This window comes from Homo sapiens, chromosome 1, assembly GCF_000001405.40.
Source record: "Homo sapiens chromosome 1, GRCh38.p14 Primary Assembly".
Lineage (NCBI taxonomy): Eukaryota > Metazoa > Chordata > Mammalia > Primates > Hominidae > Homo > Homo sapiens.
In genome coordinates, this window is record NC_000001.11 from 202,894,580 (window position 1) to 202,915,976 (window position 21,397).

General features: G+C 41.8%; 1 protein-coding gene and 1 pseudogene across 9 annotated transcripts in view; one reads left to right on the plus strand and one right to left on the minus strand.

Annotated features, from left to right (window-relative positions):
• The window catches only part of KLHL12 (kelch like family member 12), a 37,480-nt gene that overhangs the window by 3,460 nt on the left and 12,623 nt on the right, over positions 1–21,397 (minus strand). For 5 of the 9 annotated variants that reach the window (NM_001303051.2, XM_011509836.3, XM_011509835.3 and 2 more), the window contains 5 exons: positions 16,475–16,624; positions 14,431–14,545; positions 2,275–2,381; positions 943–1,138; positions 12–170 (listed from right to left, as the gene is read on the minus strand). In NM_001303051.2, coding sequence (NP_001289980.1) covers positions 12–170; positions 943–1,138; positions 2,275–2,381; positions 14,431–14,545; positions 16,475–16,624 — 727 coding nt within the window. The remainder of the gene's footprint in view (positions 1–11; positions 171–942; positions 1,139–2,274; positions 2,382–14,430; positions 14,546–16,474; positions 16,625–21,397) is intronic. The other 4 variants (XM_047426918.1, XM_011509837.3, XM_047426919.1 and 1 more) reach the window with 1 other exon arrangement.
• HNRNPA1P59 (heterogeneous nuclear ribonucleoprotein A1 pseudogene 59) lies at positions 17,172–18,349 on the plus strand (annotated as a pseudogene).

Below are 21,397 nucleotides of genomic sequence, written 5' to 3' on the forward strand. Positions count from 1 at the left end.
AGACTCAATACCTAGACAGTAGATCACTCCACTGGCCACTACGAGTCCGGCACCTTCCCGGGCTGTCTGCATATCTCCCAGCATGCTCCACTGGTCAATGTTTGGATCATAGCGCTCCATACTGGTGTGACGCCTGCTTCCATCAAAGCCTCCAGAGACATAGATCATATCTGCTCAGAATAAACAAATTACAGACTATTAGAGAATGAGAGATTTCTAAGAACTCTTTCCTCTACAAATTTTCCAAGGGTCCTTTAAAAGTCTGAGAGCAAAAACAAAGTATTTTTAAATGAGATAAGTCAATTAAGTTTTATAGACAAGGAAGACATCTAAAAAGAATGGGGTAAAACAAAATCCTTAAAAGCATTCAAAGACCACCTAGGAGTTTGCAAAAACACAACTAGTGCCAGTTCCCCACCCAGCACATTGGAACTTGATTTGCCAACTTTGTAGTCAATAATGAAACATCCATGAATATTGAACAGCTTCTATTACACTGATATTTCTGAAAGCAAAAAGGAGTATTTGTCGGCTGGGCACAGTGGCTCACACCTGTAATCCCAGCACCTTGGGAGGCCGAGGTGGGTCAATCACTTGAGCTCAGGAGTTAGAGATCAGCCTGGGCAACATGGCGAAACCCCATCTCTACTAAAAATACAAAAATATAGCTGGGCATGGTGGTGCATGCCTGTAGTCCCAGCTACTCAGGAAGCTGAGGTGGGAGGATCGCTTGAGCTTGGGGAGGTTGAGGCTGCAGTGAGCCGTGATCACACCACTGCACTCCAGCCTGGGCAACAGAGAGAGACCCTGTCTCAAATAATAATAACATTTGACCTTAATTTTTTCTCCGTATTTCATGCTCCTGCCAGACAACAGGAGAGGTTAAAAACCCTGGTCCAGCCACAGTAAGATGGAAATAATTGCCCTGCACATCCAGCCTACCTCCCAGGGTGGTGGCTCCAGCAAGACCTCGTCGGACATTCATAGGGGCCACAGAATACCAGACCCCATCCTCATCTGCTGTGTAGTCTAGACATTCCACTGAACTAAGGCGGGAACGGCCATCATAGCCACCAATGACGTAGATCCGGTCATGAAGGGACACTGAGGCCACATAACGTCTCTTACGAGTGATGCTCTATGGATTTGGAGAGAAGAGGTACAGAGCATTTCAGTTAGGCAAGTTTTGGGCCTTACCTTTTGCTATCTTCCCTGTTGTATCTGCACACCTCTCTGCTTCTTCACCTGTCATCATGAACCCTCCTTAAGTGGTTCATCCTCAAGTGGCTCCCAAATAGCTACCTACTGAACGAAATGCCTGTTGTGGTGCTCTTAAAGATACAAGCTTTCTGCATCTCTGCCTCTTTCCAAGGCTTCCAAAAGATTTAACAGCTTTCTGTTATCCAATATCTGACTCCTTTCTCTTCCATAAGGCACTGGGCTAAGAGACTGATATCCTTCCATAAAGTAGAAAAGTATTCCCACATTGCTAATCAAAGGATGAGGATTTATTATAAGAACCTTAAAAGGTAGGAGGGTTGGATTTCCATGTTTTCTCAGAAATTACTATTGTTCATTCAGCACTGAGAGACATGCTGAGGGAGACAGATACAAACTTTTTTTTTCTGAGTTGGGATCTCACTATCACCCAGGCTGGAGTGCAGTGGCACAATCACAGTTCACTGCAACCTCGAACTCCTGGGCTCAAGCAATCTTCTGCCACAGCCTCCCAAGTAGCTAGGACTACAGGCATGCACCACCATGCCTGGCTAATTTTTTTGTTTACTTTTTTGTAGAGACAGAGTCTCACCATATTGCCCAGGCTGGTCTTGAACTCCTGGCCTCAAGAGATCCTCCCATCTCAGCCTCCCAAAGGGCTGGGATTATAGGTGTGAGCTACCACGCCCAGCCCAAACTTCTGAGCTCAACTGAACACTGGGTTCAATTCAACACAATTTAACATTCAGTTCAGTTTAACACAGCACGACCAATGAAATGTGCTAGGAATTATACAGACAGCTTAGAAAGGCACCTAACTAGTGGTGGCCATCTGAGTTTACCTTGACACAGGGCCACTGACATTTCTAAGGCATAATCTTCTAATCTAAACAGTCAAAAACTGTTAAGTAAGTACCTACTATATGCACAAGACTGTTGTAAGAAACATCCTGTTATTAGGCTTTTCTACTCTTAAGGCTGGATTAGCTATGATCTGGAGGCAGAGACTGAGGACATTTAACATCCCTCCCAACGAATGGTTTCACCATTATTTACTGGCAAAAAGCTCCACTCCTGAGTCTTGGGGTCATATTTCTCTACCACATCAATGGGAGACTGCTGGCTTCCAAAGCCCCCAACCACCAAAAGCACTTCATTGGCTCCTGAAGACAAAGGCAGAAAAAAGATGGGTTAGTTCAGCATCCCTGGATGGGTAACTAGTCACAGGGAAGTGTCAACAGAAACAGTTCTAGGATGTCTTGTTTTATGTGGCTGAGGGATGCAATCCGAAATGGGAGATAATCATAAGGCTGTCGAATGGGGAGTTATTTTTCCTTGAGGCTGTAGCTCTCGAGTCTCTGAAACTTAAATTTCTGGACATTAAAACTCTAGAAAGCAAACTTCAACATGACACTGCACCATTTCTTTTTCTTTTTTTTTTTTTTTTTTTTTTTGGAGACAGAGTTTCGCTCTTGTTGACCAGGCTAGAATGCAATTCCATGATCTCGGCTCACCACAACCTCTGCCTCCTGGGCTCAAGTGATTCTCCTGCCTCAGCCTCCCGAGTAGCTGGGATTACAGGCTGTGCCACCACGCCCAGCTAATTTTGTATTTTTAGTAGAGATGGGGTTGGTCAGGCTGGTCCCGAACTCCCAACCTCAAGTGATCCGCCAGCCTCGACCTCCCAAAGTGCTGGGATTACAGGTGTGAGTCACTGTGCCCGGCAACACTGCACCATTTCAACCTATTGAGATGACTGGCTGACATAATCCTTGAGGTCTTAAGTGCAGGTGAGAGCCTAAAGGCACTCTCTGCACTTAGCCTGAAAAACTCAAATTGGGAGGTTTTTTGTTGTAATGGGGAAAGAACTCTCCTAACCTTGTCACAAAAAAAGCTACATGTTGAAACTTAGGATCCAAGTGATGGATTTAAAATCTCTTTTTCTTTTTCTGAATTGAGAAAGGGTCTCGCTATATTGCCCAGGCTGATCTCAAACTCCTAGCCTAAAGTGATTCTCCTGCCTCAGCCTCCCAAAGTGCTGGGATTACAGGAATGAGTCACTGTGCCTGGCCTAAAATCTCTTTTCCATGAACACTTCCTTCTCCAATTTAGTCAACTATATGATCACATTCCCTGCCAATTCATCAAAACCACCAGGCAACAAAAGACTAGAGTTTTAAAGGAAAAGTCTTTTTCTCTATTTTCCCAAAGAAGCTATTCTGACAGCCTTTATATCTTCCCCTTCCCCTAACGCCTTACTCTGATAAAATATTTCCTACCTTGGCTTTTGGAGACAGGGTCTTGCTATATTGCCCAGGCTGGTCTCAAACTCCCGGCCTCAAGCGATACTCCTGCCTTAGCCTCCCAAGTAGCTGGGATTACAGGAATGAGCCACAGCACCTGCCTTGGCTTTTTTCAAAGAGCAAAGTCTCTTTGAGAAAATCCCCTGTGCATGTGCTCCATTAGAACTCATGGAGAGAATAGTTAGCTGGAGCTTTGGAAAATTCAATCACTAGGAAGCATCTAGGAGACCAAAGTGATCTTATGAGTAACCTGGACTTGAAAGAGCAAATGTAGTACCTTGAAGCTGACAGGAAACACAGATAAACCCCTAATGAAGTAATGGATTTGACAATTATCATCAATTGCTGGGCTAGAATCATTATTTCAAAAGCCAATATATTACTATGAGACATTGAGTGCTTCCTAATGGTGATGAATAGGAAGGACCACACTACCACCTCGTCTTTTTTCCAAAAAACTGAGCCTGACTCTTAACAAGCCTCTAATCCAACCACTAGTTTACAGGCAATACATGGGAGAAGAACATGTTAAATGACACTACAAAGATGCAACAGCAGAGTCTAGAATGTGGGAAATTCTACAGGTCGAACAGCTTGGCTTCTTCAAGAAATAAACTGGCTGGGAAAAACCAAAACAGGATGGAAACTTTTGGATTAAAACGAGACTGAAAAGAGACATGAAATCACGAGCAACGTGTGGACTTTGTCTGGATTCTGATTTGAACAACATAAGTACTCAAAAACAAACAACAAAAAATTATGGAAAAAAAATTACACAAACACGTGAGAATAAGGAATTGTGTGATTTTAAACAGTGATAATGGCATTCTAGATGTGGCAGAATTTTTTTTCCTTATCTTTTAGAGACACACGTGGAAGTATGACACATAGGCATGGAATAATATCCAGTCTGGAATTTGCTTCAAAATAGCCTGGGTGCAGTGGCTCATGCCTGTAATCCCAACACTTTGGGAGGCCAAGGCTGGCAGATCACTTGAGGTAAGGAGTTTGAGACCAGCCTAGCCAACAAGGCAAAACCCCGTCTCTACTAAAAATACAAAAATTAGCTGAGTGTGGTGGCGCACACCTGAAATCCCAACTACTCGGGTGGCTCAGGCATGAGAATGCTTAAACCCAGGAAGTGGAGGTTGTAGTGAGCTGAGATAGCGCCACTACACTCCAGCCTGGGCAATAAGGCAAAACTCCATCTCAAAGAAAAAGCTATGTGTTGATAATTGTTAAAATTGAGTGATGGGTATGGGGGATCATTATATTACTATTTTTATGTTTGAGATTTTTCTTAATAAAACATATACACTCACACATAAACCACGGAGTTTTTCTAAGAGGGCACTTGTCTTATGTACTTGCCAAATAAAGTGGACCCTCTCCAAAGTGAGCCAGCAAGTAGGTCTCAGGAGTCAGCTCCTTCGAAAATCAAAGCATGGCCAGGTGTGGCTCATGCCTGTAATCCTAGCACTTTGGGAGGCCAAAGCAGGTAAATTGTCTGAGGTCAGGAATTCAAGACCAGCCTGTCTAACATGGCAAAACCCCGTCTCTACTAAAAATACAAAAATTAGCCGGGTGCAGTGATGCGCACCTGTAGTCTCAGCTACTTGGGAGGCTGAGGCGGGAGAATCACTTGAACTGAGGAAGAGGTTGCAGTGAGCCGAGATTGCACCACTGCACTCCAGACTAGGCAACAGAGTAAGACTCCATCTCAAAAAAAAAAAAAAAAAATAATAATAATAAATAAAAAAATCAAAGCATAAGAATGAAGGGTTCTTTAGTGATTGAAGTAATTTTATGTCTGCCTAAAATTACTTCAAGTTGGGAGAAGCTAGGACCACAAGTTATTTGTTTCTTCTTTGGGAACACTATTTCCCTACCTATTCCTTTTTCTTACTCCACCTCTTTTCTTCCTGACTTGAATAGACAAGGTAAGTGTGATCCTTCTATCCAAACACATTTCCCATGTAGATGAATATGCCAGCAGATGATGTATGTATGAATAAAAATTCCCACACCAACCAAGAGGTACTTCCTGTGCTATGCAAATTTTAAAGTTTTCTATTGATTTTTCAGCTCTTATTTCTGTTGCTTTATATAACTCCCTGCCCCACCCCCCAACCCCCCAAAAATAAATATATATATCTAAAGAAGTCAGGCACAGTGGCTCATGACTATAATCCTAGCACTTTGGGAGGCCAAAGTGGGCAGATTCCTTGCGCCCAGGGGTTCGAGGCCACTTTGGGTAACATGGTGAGACTCCCATATCTAGAAAAAAATAATAAAAAAAAATAGCCAGGTGTGATGGCAAATGCCTGTAGTCCCAGCTACTCCTGAGGCTGACATGGGAGGATCACTTAAGTCCAGGAGGTTAAGGCTGCAGTGAACAAGGTCGTGTTCCTGCACTCCAGCCTGGGGAACAGAGTGAGAACTTGTCTCAAAAAATAAAATAAAGTAACATAAAATAAAGAAGGCTGGGCGTGGTGGCTCACGCCTGTAATCACAGCACTTTGGGAGGCCGAGGCGGGTGGATCACTTGAGGTCAGGAGTTCAAGGCCAGCCTGGCCAACATGGTGAAACCCCATCTCTACTAATAATACAAAAATTAGCCAGGTGTGGTGGTACACACCTGTAGTCCCAGCTACTTGGGAGGGTGAGGCACGAGAATCGCTTGAACCTGGGAGATGCAGGTTGCAGTGAGCAGAGATCGCACCACTGCACTCCAGCCTAGGTGACAGAGCAAGACTCTGTCTCAAAAAAATTAAACACAAATACAAACACAAAAATTAGCCAGGTGTGGTGGTGTGCATTTTGTAGTCCCAGCTACTCCGGAGGCTGAGGCAGGAGAATCACTTGAACCTGGGAGGCGGAGGTTGCAGTGAGCCGAGATCATGCCGCTACACTCCAGCCTGGGTGACAAAGCAAGACTGTCTCAAAAATAAAATAAAGAAAAAACCCCTCTCTTTCTTGATATGATTTCATTCAGGCACCTTTTGAAGGGTGGGAGAAAAGAAGTAGAAAGGAAATAGATTATATTAAAAACACAGATAACTGACAGTACTTCCTGTTGGCTGAAATTTTCCCAATAAACACTCTGGTAACTATATGTCTACAGTGGAACTTCGTAAGAGGTGTTGGTGTGATGTATAAAGGAGTTTGTTTTGTTCTGTTTAAAAGACAAGGCCTTCCTCTGTCACCTAGGCTGGAGTGCAGTGGCACAATCTCAGCTCACCACAGCATCGACCTCCCAGGCTCAAGCAATCCTCCTACCTCCCAGGCTCAAGCAATCCTCCTACCTCAGCCTCCTGAGCAGCTGGGAGCACAGTGTGTGCCACCAAACCCAGCTACCTTTTTTTTTTTTTTTTAATTTTTTAAAGAGAGGAGGTCTCACTATGTTGCTCAGGCTGGTCTCTAACTCCTGAACTCAAGCGATGCTTCTGCTTCGGCCTCCCAAAGTGCTGGGATTACAGACATGAGCCACTGTACCAGCCACTCAGGGGTTTTATGGCTCTAAATGGCTGGGATCCTTCGATCACTGATTCCCAAACTTCTTTGCTGTGAAGGACTCTCTTCATTATTTTTCCCGACAGATCCTGTGTTTTGACAGACTGTCTACCAAAGTGAGTTTAAGTAATTAACTTCCCCGCAACTGCCAACAGAGCTTTTGATAACTATGAGAGCAACAGTGTTTCACACTGAATGGATATAATTTTAGTTAAATCTGAAGTCTTTATTTAGCCTGTTCAGCTTTTTCTAGCACAAAAATGATTTTCTTTTAGAAAATTTAAAAATAACTCAAGGACTAGTATAATCACCATCCCCACTCACGTATTACCCCTCCCTGTTGAAAAGAATTGAAAAGTATTTTCCTTGTGATTATAAAACATATAATATACATTTTTACTGCTAAAAAACTTGGAAAATACAGACAGGTATTATGAAAAAAAAATTACCCATAGTTCCACAATACAAAGACACACCAAAATGTAACATAATTTCCTTCCAGCCTTGTTTCTGCACATTTATAAAACACAAATGGGGGCCGGGCACAGTGGCTAGCGCCTGTAATCCCAGCACTTTGGGAGGCTGAGATGAGTGGATCACGAGGTCAGGAGTTCGAGACCAGCCTGGCCAACATGGTGAAACCCCATCTCTAGTGAAAATACAAAAATCAGCCAGACATGGTAGCACATGCCTGTAATCTCAGCTACTCGGGAGGCTGAGGCAGGAGAATCGCTTGAACTTGGGAAGTGGAGACTGCAGTGAGCCGAGATCACACCATTGCCCTCCAGCCTGGGTAACAGAGCGAGACTCCGTCCAAAAAAAAAAACACCAAAAACAAACAAACAAAAAAACCTACAAATGTGACCATATTATATTGTATCCTGATGTTTTTCATTTTCCAAATATATGAATAACTCTTTTAGTACATGGTTATAATATTCTTAGGCATTTCAGGGTTTATAATTTTGGGTTATAAACAATCACATAAATAACCCTGTGATAAATATCCTGAATATGAAACTTTTCCTGGTTGTTTTCTTAAAGAAATGGGAAGAATGCTGAGTAATGAACCTGAATTAGAAAAAAATTTTTTGAGCCAGGCATGGTGGCTCACACCTGTAACCCTAGCACTTTGGGAGGCCAAAGCAGGCAGATCACATGAACCCAGGAGATCAAGACCAGCCTGAGCAGCATGGCAAAACCCTGTCTCTACTAAAAATACAAAAAATTAGCCAGGTCTGGTGGTGCACACCTGTAGTCCCAAGTCCCAGCTACCTGGGAGGCTGAGGTGGGAGGATCACTTGAGTCCAGGAAGTGGACGCTGCAGTGAGCCAAAATCATGCCATTGCACTATAGTGACACAGTGAGACCTTGTATCAAAACAAACAAACAAATGAAATAGATCACCATGGTGGCATACGCCTGTAGTCCCAGCTACTGAGGAGGCTGAGGTGGGAGGATTGCTTGAGCCCAGAAAGTGAAGTTTCAGTGAACCAAGATCATGCCACTGCACTCTAGCCTAGGAGCCAGAGTGAGACCTTGTCTCAAAAAAAAAAAAAAAAAAAAAAAAAATTACTTTGAGACATAAGGTGACTTTTTGAAGCTGTTACCAATTACACTCCCACCAACACTATAAAGGTGCCAACTCATTCTACTTTCTGAGGCACTGGATAGTTTTTAAATCTCTGACACTCTGGTAGGCAAAAAATTATGTTTAATTCTTTATAACTAATAAGACCCTATTATTAATTAGGTTGAACTCCCTCCCTTGTATCTAGTAGCCAGCTTTACTTGCCCTTCTGCGAACTGTACACTCAAATCTTTATTGTTTCTCTCATGCATTCTTGTTTTTTTTTTCTTTTTTGAGACAAGGTCTTGCTCTGCTGCCCAGGCTAGAGTGCACTGGTGCAATTATGGTTCACTGCAGCCTCAGCCTCGACCTCCTGGGCTCAAGCATCCTCCTAGCCTCCCACTTCAGCTTCCCTAGTAGCTGGGACCACTAATTTTTTTCTTTTCTTTTTTTTTTTGAAACGGCGTCTTGCTCTGTGGCCCAGGCTGGAGTGCAGTGGTGTGATCTTGGCTCACTGCAACCTCTGCCTCCTGGGCTAAAATGATTCTCCTGCCTCAACCTCCCCAATAGCTGGGATTACAGGCATGCGTCACCATGCCTGGCTAATTTTTATACTTTTAGTAGAGACAGGGTTTCATCCTGTTGGCCAGGCTGGTCTCGAATTCCTGGGCTCCATCGCCTGCCTCAGCCTCTCAAAGTGCTGGGATTACAGGTGTGAGCCACTGCTCTTGGCCCTGTCTCATGCATTCTTATGAGCTCTTTACACACAAATGGTTTTAACCCTTTAACCCTTTATCTATCTATCTATGTATCTATCTATCTATCTATCTATTTATCTATCTATCTATCTATGAGATGGAGTTTTGCTCTTGTTGCCCAGGCTGGAGTGCAATGGCACGATCTTGGTTCACCACAATCTCCACCTCCCAGGTTCAAGCAATTTCCCGAGTAGCTGGGATTACAGGCATGTGCCACCAAGCCCGGCTAATTTTGTATTTTTAGTAGAGACAGGATTTCTCCATGTTGGTCAGGCTGGTCTCAAACTCCCGATCTCAGGTGATCCACCTGCCTCAGCCTCCCAAAGCGCTGGGATTACAGGCGTAAGGCACCCTGCCAGGCCAACCCTTTAACCCTTTAAAGGGTTGTTCCAAACCTATGTTCCTAATTTATCATAATTTTGTATATGATTTTTTTATTTATTCAAATATGTTTTTATTCTTTGTCATTTCTTCCACTATTTTGTGCCTAGAAAGTCCTTCTTCCCCAGAAGAACTCCTAAGGTTTTAATGTTTTAACCCTAAGTTGGAGACCAATACTCAAACAATCTGACTCGTGTAAAAAAAAGCTAGTGAAAGAGTCAACCTGAAAGAAGCCTGTTTGTTCTCTGCCAATGATGGAGTACTTGTTAAGTGAGATTTTTATCTTTTTAATGAGAAAAGCTTGTCTAGGACATCTTACAAGAACAGTGTGAAAAAGCACATTTCTAAAACTGAAGAACCTGGCAGTGGCATGGTCATTATTTTTAGAAAGAGGGGAAGGGGAGTGTGTGTGTGCTGTGACACGTTGTTAGAGAAATAAGGCAGATGCAGGACTGCTAAAATAACAGGGTTCAGAGACTCACATTTCCATTTGCACTGATCTTTAGTTCAAAAAAGGAGACAGCCACAAATTAGAAAAGTAATTTCCATTATATCTTCTTTGAGACAGTAATGGGTAAGGTTAATAACTAAAAATCCCTTATTTGGCAGGCTATTTTAACTTGGCTGTCAATTTAATTTCCTTCTGCTGTATGCAGAAGAGTCATTATCCTGGTAGCTGGTTTAGCAGCCAATATGCATAGAGATGGGTAGAGGACATGATGGTAAGAACAATCTACCTGCTAAGGCACTGACAAAGCGATACTAAGAATCTAATTGGAAACTGCTTCAGCATTTCCCTTCTAGAACTTCTGAAAAATAACCTCAAGACTATGAAGATATATAGATTTATAGTTTAATCCCTTAAGGTCAGGGCAATAAGCAAGTTCTCTAACCAAGCAGGAGCCCCTTCTGCTGCCTGTTCAGAGATATGCAAGAAATGTACCTCCAAAGAATCTTCTGGGTTTACTGATTCACAAAAATTTTCATTAGCTTTTAGTTCAATTTAATAAGCAAATAATGAGTGCTATCATGCAAAAAGGAAACATTTTTCTGTGTTGGAAAGTACCTTAGTGACTGAACATTAACTCTGTTGATATAAAGAACTGGTAACCCAGAGAAGTTAAAGGACTTGTCCAAACAGCAAGTTACTAGAGTGAGTGTCGGAAATTGGAGTAAAAATCAAAGTAAGCAAAATGTCTTATCTCCTAGTGCCAGGTTCTTTCCACTACATCACTGGCTTTCATGGTATAGGTTGAGTAACCCTTATCTGAAATGCTTACGACAAGAAGCGCTACAGATTTCAGACACTTTTGGATTTTTGTAATATCTGCATTATTTCTTTGCACAACTATTTGCGCATCCCTAATTCAGAAACCCCAAATCCAAAATGCTTCAATGAGCATTTCCTTTGAGCATTATGTTGGCACTCAAAGTTTTAGATCTTGGAGCATTTTGAATTTCAAGATTTTCAGATTAGGGATACCCAACCCGATTTTTTTTTAGACAGAGTCTCACTCTGTCGCCCAGGCTGGAGTGCAGTGGCGTGATCTCAGCTTACTGCAGGCTCCATCTCCTGGGTTCACGCCATTCTCCTGCCTCAGCCTCCTGAGTAGCTTGAACTACAGGTGCCCGCCACCACACCTGGCTTTTTTTTTTTTTTTTTTTTTTTTGTATTTTTAGTAGATACGGGGTTTCACCGTGTTAGCCTGGATGGTCTCGATCTCCTGACCTCGTGATCCACCCGCCTCGGCCTCCCAAAGTGCTGGGATTACGGGCATGAGCCACCGCGCCCGGCCACCCAACCCAATTTTTAAAAATAATAATTATTTTTTAAAAAACAAAAGTAATGGCCAGGCGCGGTGGCTCATGCCCGTAATCCCAGCACTTTAGGAGGCTGAGGTGGGCGGATCACCTGACGTCAGGAGTCCGAGACCAGCCTGGCCAACGTGGTGAAACCCCGTCTCTACTAAAAAATACAAAAAATTAGCCAGGCGTGGTGGCACACACCTGTAATCCCAGCTACTTGGGAGGCTGAGGCAGGAGAATCGCTTGAACCCAGGAGACAGAGGTTGCAGTGAGCAAAGATTATGCCACTGCACTCCAGCCTGGGCAACAAGAGCAACGCTTCGTCTCAAAAAAAAAAAAAAAAAAAAAAAAGTTCCTACCCTGGGAGGAAAGGCAAAATTGGGAGTTTATTGTTTAATGGGTACAGAGTTTCAGTCTTGTTAAGACAAAAAGAGTTACAGAGATTGATTGTATAACAATGTATTTAACATGAGTCAACTGTACATGTAAAAATGGTTAAGATGGTAAATTTTATGCTAAATATATTTTATTTAATTAATTTATTTATTTTTGAGATGGAGTCTCACTCTGTCGCCCAGGCTGGAGTACAATGGTGCAATCTTGGCTCACTGCAACCTCCGCCTCCCGGGTTCAAGCGATTCTCCTGCCTCAGCCTCCAGAGTAGCTGGGATTACAGGTGTGCACCACCACACTCAGCTAATTTTTGTATTTTTAGTAGACATGGGGTTTCACCATGTTGGCCAGGCTGGTCTCGAACTACTGACCTCAAGTGATCTGCCCACCTTGGCCTCCCAAAGTGCTGGGATTACAGGTGTGAGACACCGTGCCCGGCCTGTTACATATATTTTACAAAAAAGAAAAAAAAGACTTCCATCCAGAAGGTATACAAATATTTTCCTATAATTTCTTCTAATATTCTCATAGTTTTTCACCATTCAGTCCTTCAATCTATCTTGTGTTGATATGTATCTGTGTATAAAGCATATGAAACACAGATCACATTTTGTCATCTTGCAGTAGTAGAAAATACCATCTACAATGCCCTATCTAAAAGTTCTCTTTTTAAAAAAATGCAGTATCTTTGAGTGGTAAGATTATGGATGATTTTTATTTATTTTTTGCTTCTCTGTATTTCTACAAGTTCTACATTGAACATGCAGTACTTATGCCATTAAAAAATATAGGAGAGGGAGCCAGGCATGGTGGCTCATGCCTGTAATCCCAGCACTTTGGGAGGCCAAGGTGGGTGGATCAATTGCAGCCAGGAGTTAGAGACCAGCCTGGTCAACATGGAGAAACCCTGTCTCTACCAAAAATACAAAAATTAGCCAGGGATGGTGGCAGTCGCCTGTTGTCCCAGCTACTCGGGAGTCTGAGGCACAAGAATTGCTTGAACCTGGGAGAGGTTGTAGTGAGCCAAGATTGCACCACTGCACTCCAGTCTGGGTGACAGAGCAAGACTCTGTCTTAAAAAAAAAAAAAAAAGGAAAAAAATTATATATATATATATGGGAGGCCTGTAATCCCAGCACTTTGGGAGGCCAAGGCAGGTGAACTGCTTGAGTCCAGGAGTTCAAGACCCAGCCTGGGCAACAAAGGAAGGCTCTGTCTCTACAAAAAAATATAAAAATTAGCCAGGCATGGTGGCACGTGCCTGCGGTCCCAGCTACTTGGGAGGCTGAGGTGGGAAGACTGCTTGAGTCCAGGAGGCTAAGGCTGCAGTGAACCGAGATCACGCCACTGCACTCCACCCTGGGCAACATAGTGAGACCTCATTTCTATTAAAAAAAATAAAATATAGCGGATAAATCACCATTCTACCTAAACCCATCAGTGAGCAGCTTAATTATCAACTAACACCTTAGCACGCATCATGAGTCCTCAGTCAGATAAAAGGAAACAATAAAACAAAATACCACCCCATACATATAGAGTAATTCATAACTTATAAAATGTTTTTATACACTATACACCTAGGCTTTTGGACAGTGAAGCAAAGAGAATAGGAAGTGGAAAGTATGGTGATATCTGAGTATTTAGTGTGTGCCAGCTATAGTGTTAGGTATCTTATATACATTATCTCATTCAATCCTCCCAACACTGAGATAAGACACTAACTCTCATCTTAGTGGTAGACATACAGGCTCAGATAAATTGATACCTTGCCCAACCAGTCATTGCTGGGGCTTGGATTTGAACCTAGGTCTATTTGCTAAGATAATAGCTAATACACATAGTTATTATGTGCCAAGAAGTGTTTTAAGGCTTTACATAAATAACTTTATTTACTCTTCATAACAATGTTACAGGCAGGTGCTACGATGATTCCATTTACAGATGAGGCAACTGAAGCACACAGAGGTTAAGGTTCCTGCCCAAGTTAATAAATCTAGTACGAGGTAAACTGGTACCTGCACCAACAGTAACTGCCAAAACCCATGTACTTTCTACCACACTGGGCTCCTTTTCTTCCTCTCTTCATTCCGGAATGGAAAAACCACATAAGGGGAAGTGAAGAGGTGGGTGGAAGCATATACTACTTACCTGCCATTATGTGGCACTAAAATTATCTCTAATTCACAGAATCTAAATAATATTGACAAAAAATTGTAACATATTATGTAATGCCTGACAATGTATAAAGTGCTTTTATATTTTATCTCATTTAATTTCCAAATAATTATGTGAAGTAGATAGAGAAGACATCCTTGATTTATAGGAAAGAAAGCTTAGAGTGGTAAAGTGACTTGTCTGAGATGATAGAAGAAAAGGTCTGAAACGAGGTGTCTGTACTTCTTATAGAGTATTATTTTCAACTATGTTGTCACCTGCAAGAAGTAGTTGAAAAGCATCCCCTCATTCTGCCGAGATACCAGCTTACCTAGGCGAGCCCTTGTCCTGGGTCCCTGCATCTGACTCCGAAGTTCAGGCCTCAGATGAAACTTCTTTGCTTCATCAACCAGATCCCTGCATTGTAAACTACAGCGGATGAAAGGCTGAAATATAGCAGACAGCAGAGTTAGGCACTGGGGATACCTGTAATACTATAAGAGTACAAAGAGCACATGCAAATAATTAACTTCTGACTACAGAAAACCAGTTTGCAAAGCCCTGTGATTCCAGGAGTATTGCTGGTAGTAACCATGCTCTCGGTTTCCAGAAATGATTTTTAAAATTTACTTGAAAAATAGATAACATACTAGATGGATCAAAAATCAAATGATATAAACAGATATGTTGAGCAGTATTTCCCATCTATCGCAGCGCTTACATTTAACTATTTTTACATAGTTTGGATGCCCTTCCAGGGATTATGCAAACACAAGTACATAATAACTAATAAGAATTTTAAGGGGAAAACCAAAAAGATTCTGTTATTTTCTGGGTGACAGGAAGAATCATATTTTGTCTGAAATATCTCCCCCAAGGTTCACAGTCCTGTTGTAATTACCATTGTCTATTTCTGACAGCTCTGTACTGGACATCTTTCATTTGCCTCCCAACTCACTCTGTACCTTTTTCCACTCTGCTCTCTGGCTCAGAAGACTGGCCTATATGAACTGTGTCAATAGGGCTTCCTATGCCTTCTAGCTTCTGGTTGGGATCAGCCCAACCAAAGGTCAAGGTTTCTCTCAAGGCAGTGACTCTACACGATTCTCTTTCCTTTAAGGTTCTAGTAACCACTCCTCAACCTTGTCCCTTCAGGCTTAGGGGTTGTTAATAGCTTATGTCCTAGATCCAGGTTATTTCACTGTCTTTTGTTGTTTCTCTGAACTTGCGCCTTTGTAAACAGCTTCTTTATTAAAAAAAACTCTTCTAAAATTGTCCTGTTTTGAGTATAGCATCTGTTTCCTGTTGGGACCCTAAAGGACACAGCTCTAATTAAATGGCACCTCTATTAACCTGACCCAAGAAGTTCTTAGTCGAACTGGAAAGGAAAACAAACAATAAATAGTAGTAAACACTTATGTACAAAGACTTGGTTTTAAAAGTTTTCACATAGTAACTTACTCAATGCTAACAAGAACCTATGAGGAACGTACTATTATCATCCCTGTTTTACACATAAGAAAGCTAAGGCACAAATATATTAAGACATATTAAGTTCACAGAGTAAGTGGTGAATTTGGGATTTCAGGCCCGAGTCTGGTTCCAGAGTCTGTGCTCCTAAACACAATGTAAAGAACTAGACACAAGGGATATGTGAATTGGTTGTAAGAAAGACAGAAATCACAAACAGGAGAAAAAGAGTTTGAGATGTGACACTGACCATGCTGCAACTTTTCTAATGTGAACAACTGAAAAACTGTTTGTAGTTAACTAAGAGATCTAGGGCTGGGCCAGCAAGAGGAACTCTTCTTGCTGGGTTACCTACATATTATAAATCAATGCTCCCTCGAAGTATGGTCCAGGCAACACAGGTGGTATATATGGTAAAAATTATGAAAAAGTATCACAGAGAACTTAAGTTGGAGAAACACTTTTATAAATAAACTCAACATGATATGATTAAAGTTGACACTAAAATGCATCAAACTCCTTTCATGCTGGCTTTACCAGAAGTCAAAAATGAAGAGGCTTGCTAAGTGTGGCATAAGGGCAATTTGGAACAATTTATGTTTAATGGAGAAGGGGACAAAGTTTATTATCAAGTGTTTATATAAAACACTCAGAGGCATGTAAAACAGACAGCAAAACACAAAATTGAACCACAGATTTTCATTTGTGTCAAGAGCCTGACTTGCCAAGAAATTCGCTTTTCTTAGAAATATGCTTGGGGACTACCCAGCACCACTCTCACTGGCATTCCTAGAGAGGCAAAACAGGAGACTCTGTGCCTACATTAAAATACTCAATTTTGAATACATAACACTAAGGTAAGAGTCCGTCAAGGTTTTGGATCCTGAGAGTGTTGCACTACTTACCTCAGCATCTATTACATCTGTGATATACCTGGGGGTTAGTAGGGGCATCCGCACATACTGTAGCAGGTTAGGCAAGGATTCTTCCCGCTCTTTCTTGGCATGCTTCACCCAGTTGATGACAGCCTCAAAGACTGGCTCTTCAGAATCCACCTGTAAATGTATAATTACACACCGTGGATCCTACTTTTCCAATTAGCTCACCATCTCAAAACGTAACCACGTTCACTTTTTCCTTCCTGCTTCCCATTGCCCACCACCATTATTTCCCATCTTCCAGAAATAGCTAGGCTCTTGGGAAAACAATTTTTTTCAGACACAGCTAACAGACCAGGAAAAGAATTATAGTCAATTTGGGTTAAAAAAAAAATATATATATATACACACACACATATATATATATGTATCTCTCTCTCTCTCTCTCTCTCTAAGATAGATAGTACCTAATAAATCACCAGTCACGTATTGGCCTTCGTTTCAGAATTTTTCCCATTCCTGAATTGCTTCTGGTCTTCTCTATAACTTTAAGGAAGGCAGGTGGGGGAATCTGTTGCCTTATTCGAAGTCAGCTCTTGAAATAATTTTAAGTCATAATTGTTATCTAATGATCTCCAGGCTCACCCCTCAAACTGTTCACCCAAGCCTCTGAAGCAGGAGCTTCTCTAACATCACTATGTTGCAGTTTTCAAAAGCATTATCGCCTTTCTGCCTGTGGACGCCGCCGAAGAAGCATCTTTAAAGTCTCTCTCCTCCCTGCCGTCATGTCTAAGTCAGAGTCTCCTAAAGAGCCCAAACAGCTGAGGAAGCTCTTCATTGGAGGGTTGAGCTTTGAAATAACCAATGAAGAAAGCCTGAGGAGCTATTTTGAGCAATGGGGAATGCTCACGGACTGTGTGGTAATGAGAGACCCAAACACCAAGTGCTCCAGGGGCTTTGGGTTTGTCACATATGCCATTGTGGAGGAGGTGGATGCAGCCATGAATGCAAGGCCACACAAGGTGGATGGAAGAGTTGGAGAACCAAAGAGAGCTGTTTCAAGGGAAGATTCTCAAAGACCAGGTGCTCACTTAACTGTGAAAAAGATATTTGTTGGCAGCATTAAAGAAGACACTGAAGAACATCACCTAAGAGATAATTTGAACAGTTTGGAAAAACGGAAGTGATTGAAATCATGACTGACTGAGGCAGTGGCAAGAAAAGGGGCTTTGCCTTTGTAACCTTTGATGACCATGACTCTGTGAATAAGACTGCCATTCAGAAATACCATCCTACGAATGGCCATAACTGTGAAGTTAGGAAAGCCCTGTCAAAGTAAGAGATGGCTAGTGCTTCATCCAGCCAAAGAAGTCGAAGTGGTTCTGGAAACTTTGGTTTGGTCGTGGAGGTGGTTTCGGTTGGCATGACAGCCGTGGTGGTGGTGGTGGATATGGTGGCAGTGAGGATGGCGATAATGGATTTGGTAATGATGGAAGCAATTTTGGAGGTGGTGGAAGCTACAGTGATTTTGGCAACTACAATAATCAGTCTTCAAATTTTGGACCCATGAAGGGAGGAAACTTTGGAGGCAGAAGCTCTGGGCCCCTATGGCGGTGGAGGCCAATACTCTGCCAAACCACGAAACCAAGGTGGCTATGGTGGTTTCAGTAGCAGCAGTAGCTATGGCAGTGGCAGAAGATTTTAATTAGGAAACAAAGCTTAGCTGGAGAGGAGAGCCGGAGAAGTGACAGGGAAGCTACAGGTTACAACAGATTTGTGAACTCAGCCAAGCACAGTGGTGGCAGGGCCTAACTGCTACAAAGGAGACATGTTTTAGACAAATACTCATGTGTATGGGCAAAAAACTCGAGGACTGTATTTGTGACTAATTGTGTAACAGGTTATTTTAGTTTCTGTTCTGTGGAAAGCGTAAAGCATTCCAACAAAGGGTTTTAATGCAGATTTTTTTTTTTTTGGCACCCATGCTGTTGATTGCTAAATGTAATAGTCTGATGGTGATGCTGAATAAATGTCTTAAAAAAAAAACAAGAAAGAAAAGCATTATCAATTAGCCTTCAAGGAACTACTGTGTATTACGCACTATGCTATTTGAGAAGATATATTTAATTAATCATCTGGGGAACTTAGATCTAAGCATACATATGACCAATTAGATAATGTGAGATACACTCTAAAAAAACCTACACTACATCACTGGAAGGACTTAGGTATATAATAACACCTAGGACTTCCCAAAGACAGACACCTGAATAGAGGTCCTGTGCCCCTTCTACCAGCCCCTACAGAGTACATATTCTGGGAGATACCTTTCAGAGTGTCACTGTGAATAGATAAAAAAAACTTTTCCTAAGAACTGTGATACTCTAAAAACGCAGATGTTTCACAAAGTTCATTCATTTGAGGGCTTTACTGAACCCCACTCTTAACTGCCAGGCACTGTCCTGGAAACTGATTACACAATGGTGAACAAATCAGATATGGTGAACAAATCAGATATGATCCTTGCTCTTAAATGGGGAGTCAAACTGCTAAATCAGAAAAATGAACAATCTCACTATTATTGCATACTACATAGGAAAGGTACTGGGGCTATGAGACAGAACAACATGAGATTTCCTAGTTTAGACTGGTGAGGCAAGGAAGGCCTCCCGGAAGAAGCAACAAATTGAAATCTGATGGATGAGTAGCAGTTAGCCAGGGGGAGTAAGAGAGTACTCCGAGGCAGACAGAAGAGCACACTAAAAAGCACTAGAAATGCATTGTCCAATACACTACCCATGCGTGGCTATTTACATTCACCGTAATTAAAACTAAATTAAAAATCAGCTTCTCAGTTGCATTAGCCACATTTCAAGTGCCCAACAGCAACACGGGGCTAGCGGGAGCAAACCAGACACTATAGATATAGAGTACTTCCATCTTCATAGAATGTACTATTGAACAGCTCTGTTCTACAGCAAAAAAGAACTGGCAGCTTGAGGAAATGACTAGAAGGCTAGTGTAGCAGAGTGAATGAGGGTGATAGAGGAGTAAAATATGAAGCTGGAGAGTTAAGCAAGGGCCAGGTACAGAGAGCATTAGAATACTGGATTTGACTCTCAGAGCAACTTGAAATCATCCGAAGGTTTCAAGCAGGCTAGTGATATGATCATATTGATGTTTTGTAAAGATTATCCTGGCTACTGTGGGTAGAACAGTTTAAAGGGCCAAGAGCTAGAAGAGGTTAGATGCTGCTCTGGTACATTAGGCAAAAGGTGACGGTGCTTACTGGACTATAGTTGTGGCAGTGGTGAGCCACTGGAGAAATACTTGGGAAGTTAAACTAACCCAGGCAATTGTTGGATAAGATGCAGGGGAGGGTATAGAAGATGTCCTTGATCTTAACTTAAAACTTTTATATGATTGGAAAATAGTTTTAAGCAGATACATGATAGACTCTGACACATTCTAGGTTAAATTAGATATATCAATTTAAAGATAGAGTTTTTCAATCATGAGCAGAGGTTTTTTAGTTTGCGTTTTTAAGACTAATCAAATGGGCTGGGCGTGGTGGCTCACGCCTGTAATCTCAGCACTTTGGGAGGCCGAGGCGGGTGGATCACGAGGTCAGGAGTTTGAGACGAGCCTGGCCAAGATGGTGAAACCCAGTCTCTACTAAAAATACAAAAATTAGCCAGGTGTGGTGCGCACGCCTGTGGTCCCAGCTACTTGGGAGGCTGAGGCAGGAGAATCGTTTGAACCCAGGAGGCAGAGATTGCGGTGAGCCGAGATCGTGCCATTACACTCCAGCCTGGGCGACAAGAGCGAAACTCCGTCTAAAAAAAAAAAAAAAAAAAGACTAATCACATGAAGCAGCAGGTGTGGAGCAAGAAGAAAGAAATCTGTAACTGATTGTGGTCAACAGTTGTAAACACCACTGCCCTCAGACTAGCCATGAGCAGACAATCATGAGCAGAAGATAGAATAAATTAGAATTGCAGAAAAACAGCTAACAGGGAAGAAAAAACCCAAACATTAATGCCTCACTACAGAGAAAAATAGATTTTCTCCACAATACATTTTCACAAAGAATTCTCTTGAGTATTAGGTACTGGCGTTCTTATTTTATGCTCAGAACAGTCCTGTGTACTCAGCACTAATATCTACATTTTATAGAAGAGGAAACTGAAAATTAGTGGTTAGGTAACACATGCCACCCAGCCAAGACTAAATCCCAGTTGGACTCTAAAACCCATGCTGTTTTAACCAATATGACATCCTGCTTCCCATTGTTTTAAGTACTATTATTTTATTTAATAAGAGGGAGCAATAGCAACTGGGAGTCAGACATCTGGTTCCTATTTCTGGCTGGTATAGGGAACAGAAAAATATATGTCACTTGCTTTCTTTCCAGAAAAAAAGCAAAGGGCAGTCTTGACACACACTTAAAAAAAAACTACACATAAGAGTTCTCAAGCTGTTTTTCATTTAAGCTTCTAAATAAGGTTAGTTATTTGTTCTCTCTGCCCCATCCAGTTTTATTCCAAAGCCTGTATAGTTCCAAAAGAAATGACTTCTATGATTATTTCCTGATTTGGACAATTAGAAACAAACTGAAAACATGACGAGCTCATAGTTGAGTGATTAAGAGAAGAGACTCTGGAGCCAGACTACTCGAATTTGAAACCTGGCTCTACCACTTACTAGTGGTGGTATGATGGTTAAACTCCAATCTTCACTTTCCTCCTGTGAAAAATGAAGATGTGAGAATTAAATGAGATAAAAATACCAAGAATGGTGCCACTAGAATGGAAGCTCCAGTGGACAGGGATTTTTGTTTTGTTCATAATTTGATCTGCAGCACATGGAAATGTTCTGGGCACACAGTAAGTGTTCAACAAGTATTTAGTAAGTGAACCAACAGTAAATGCTGAATAAGTATTAGCTATT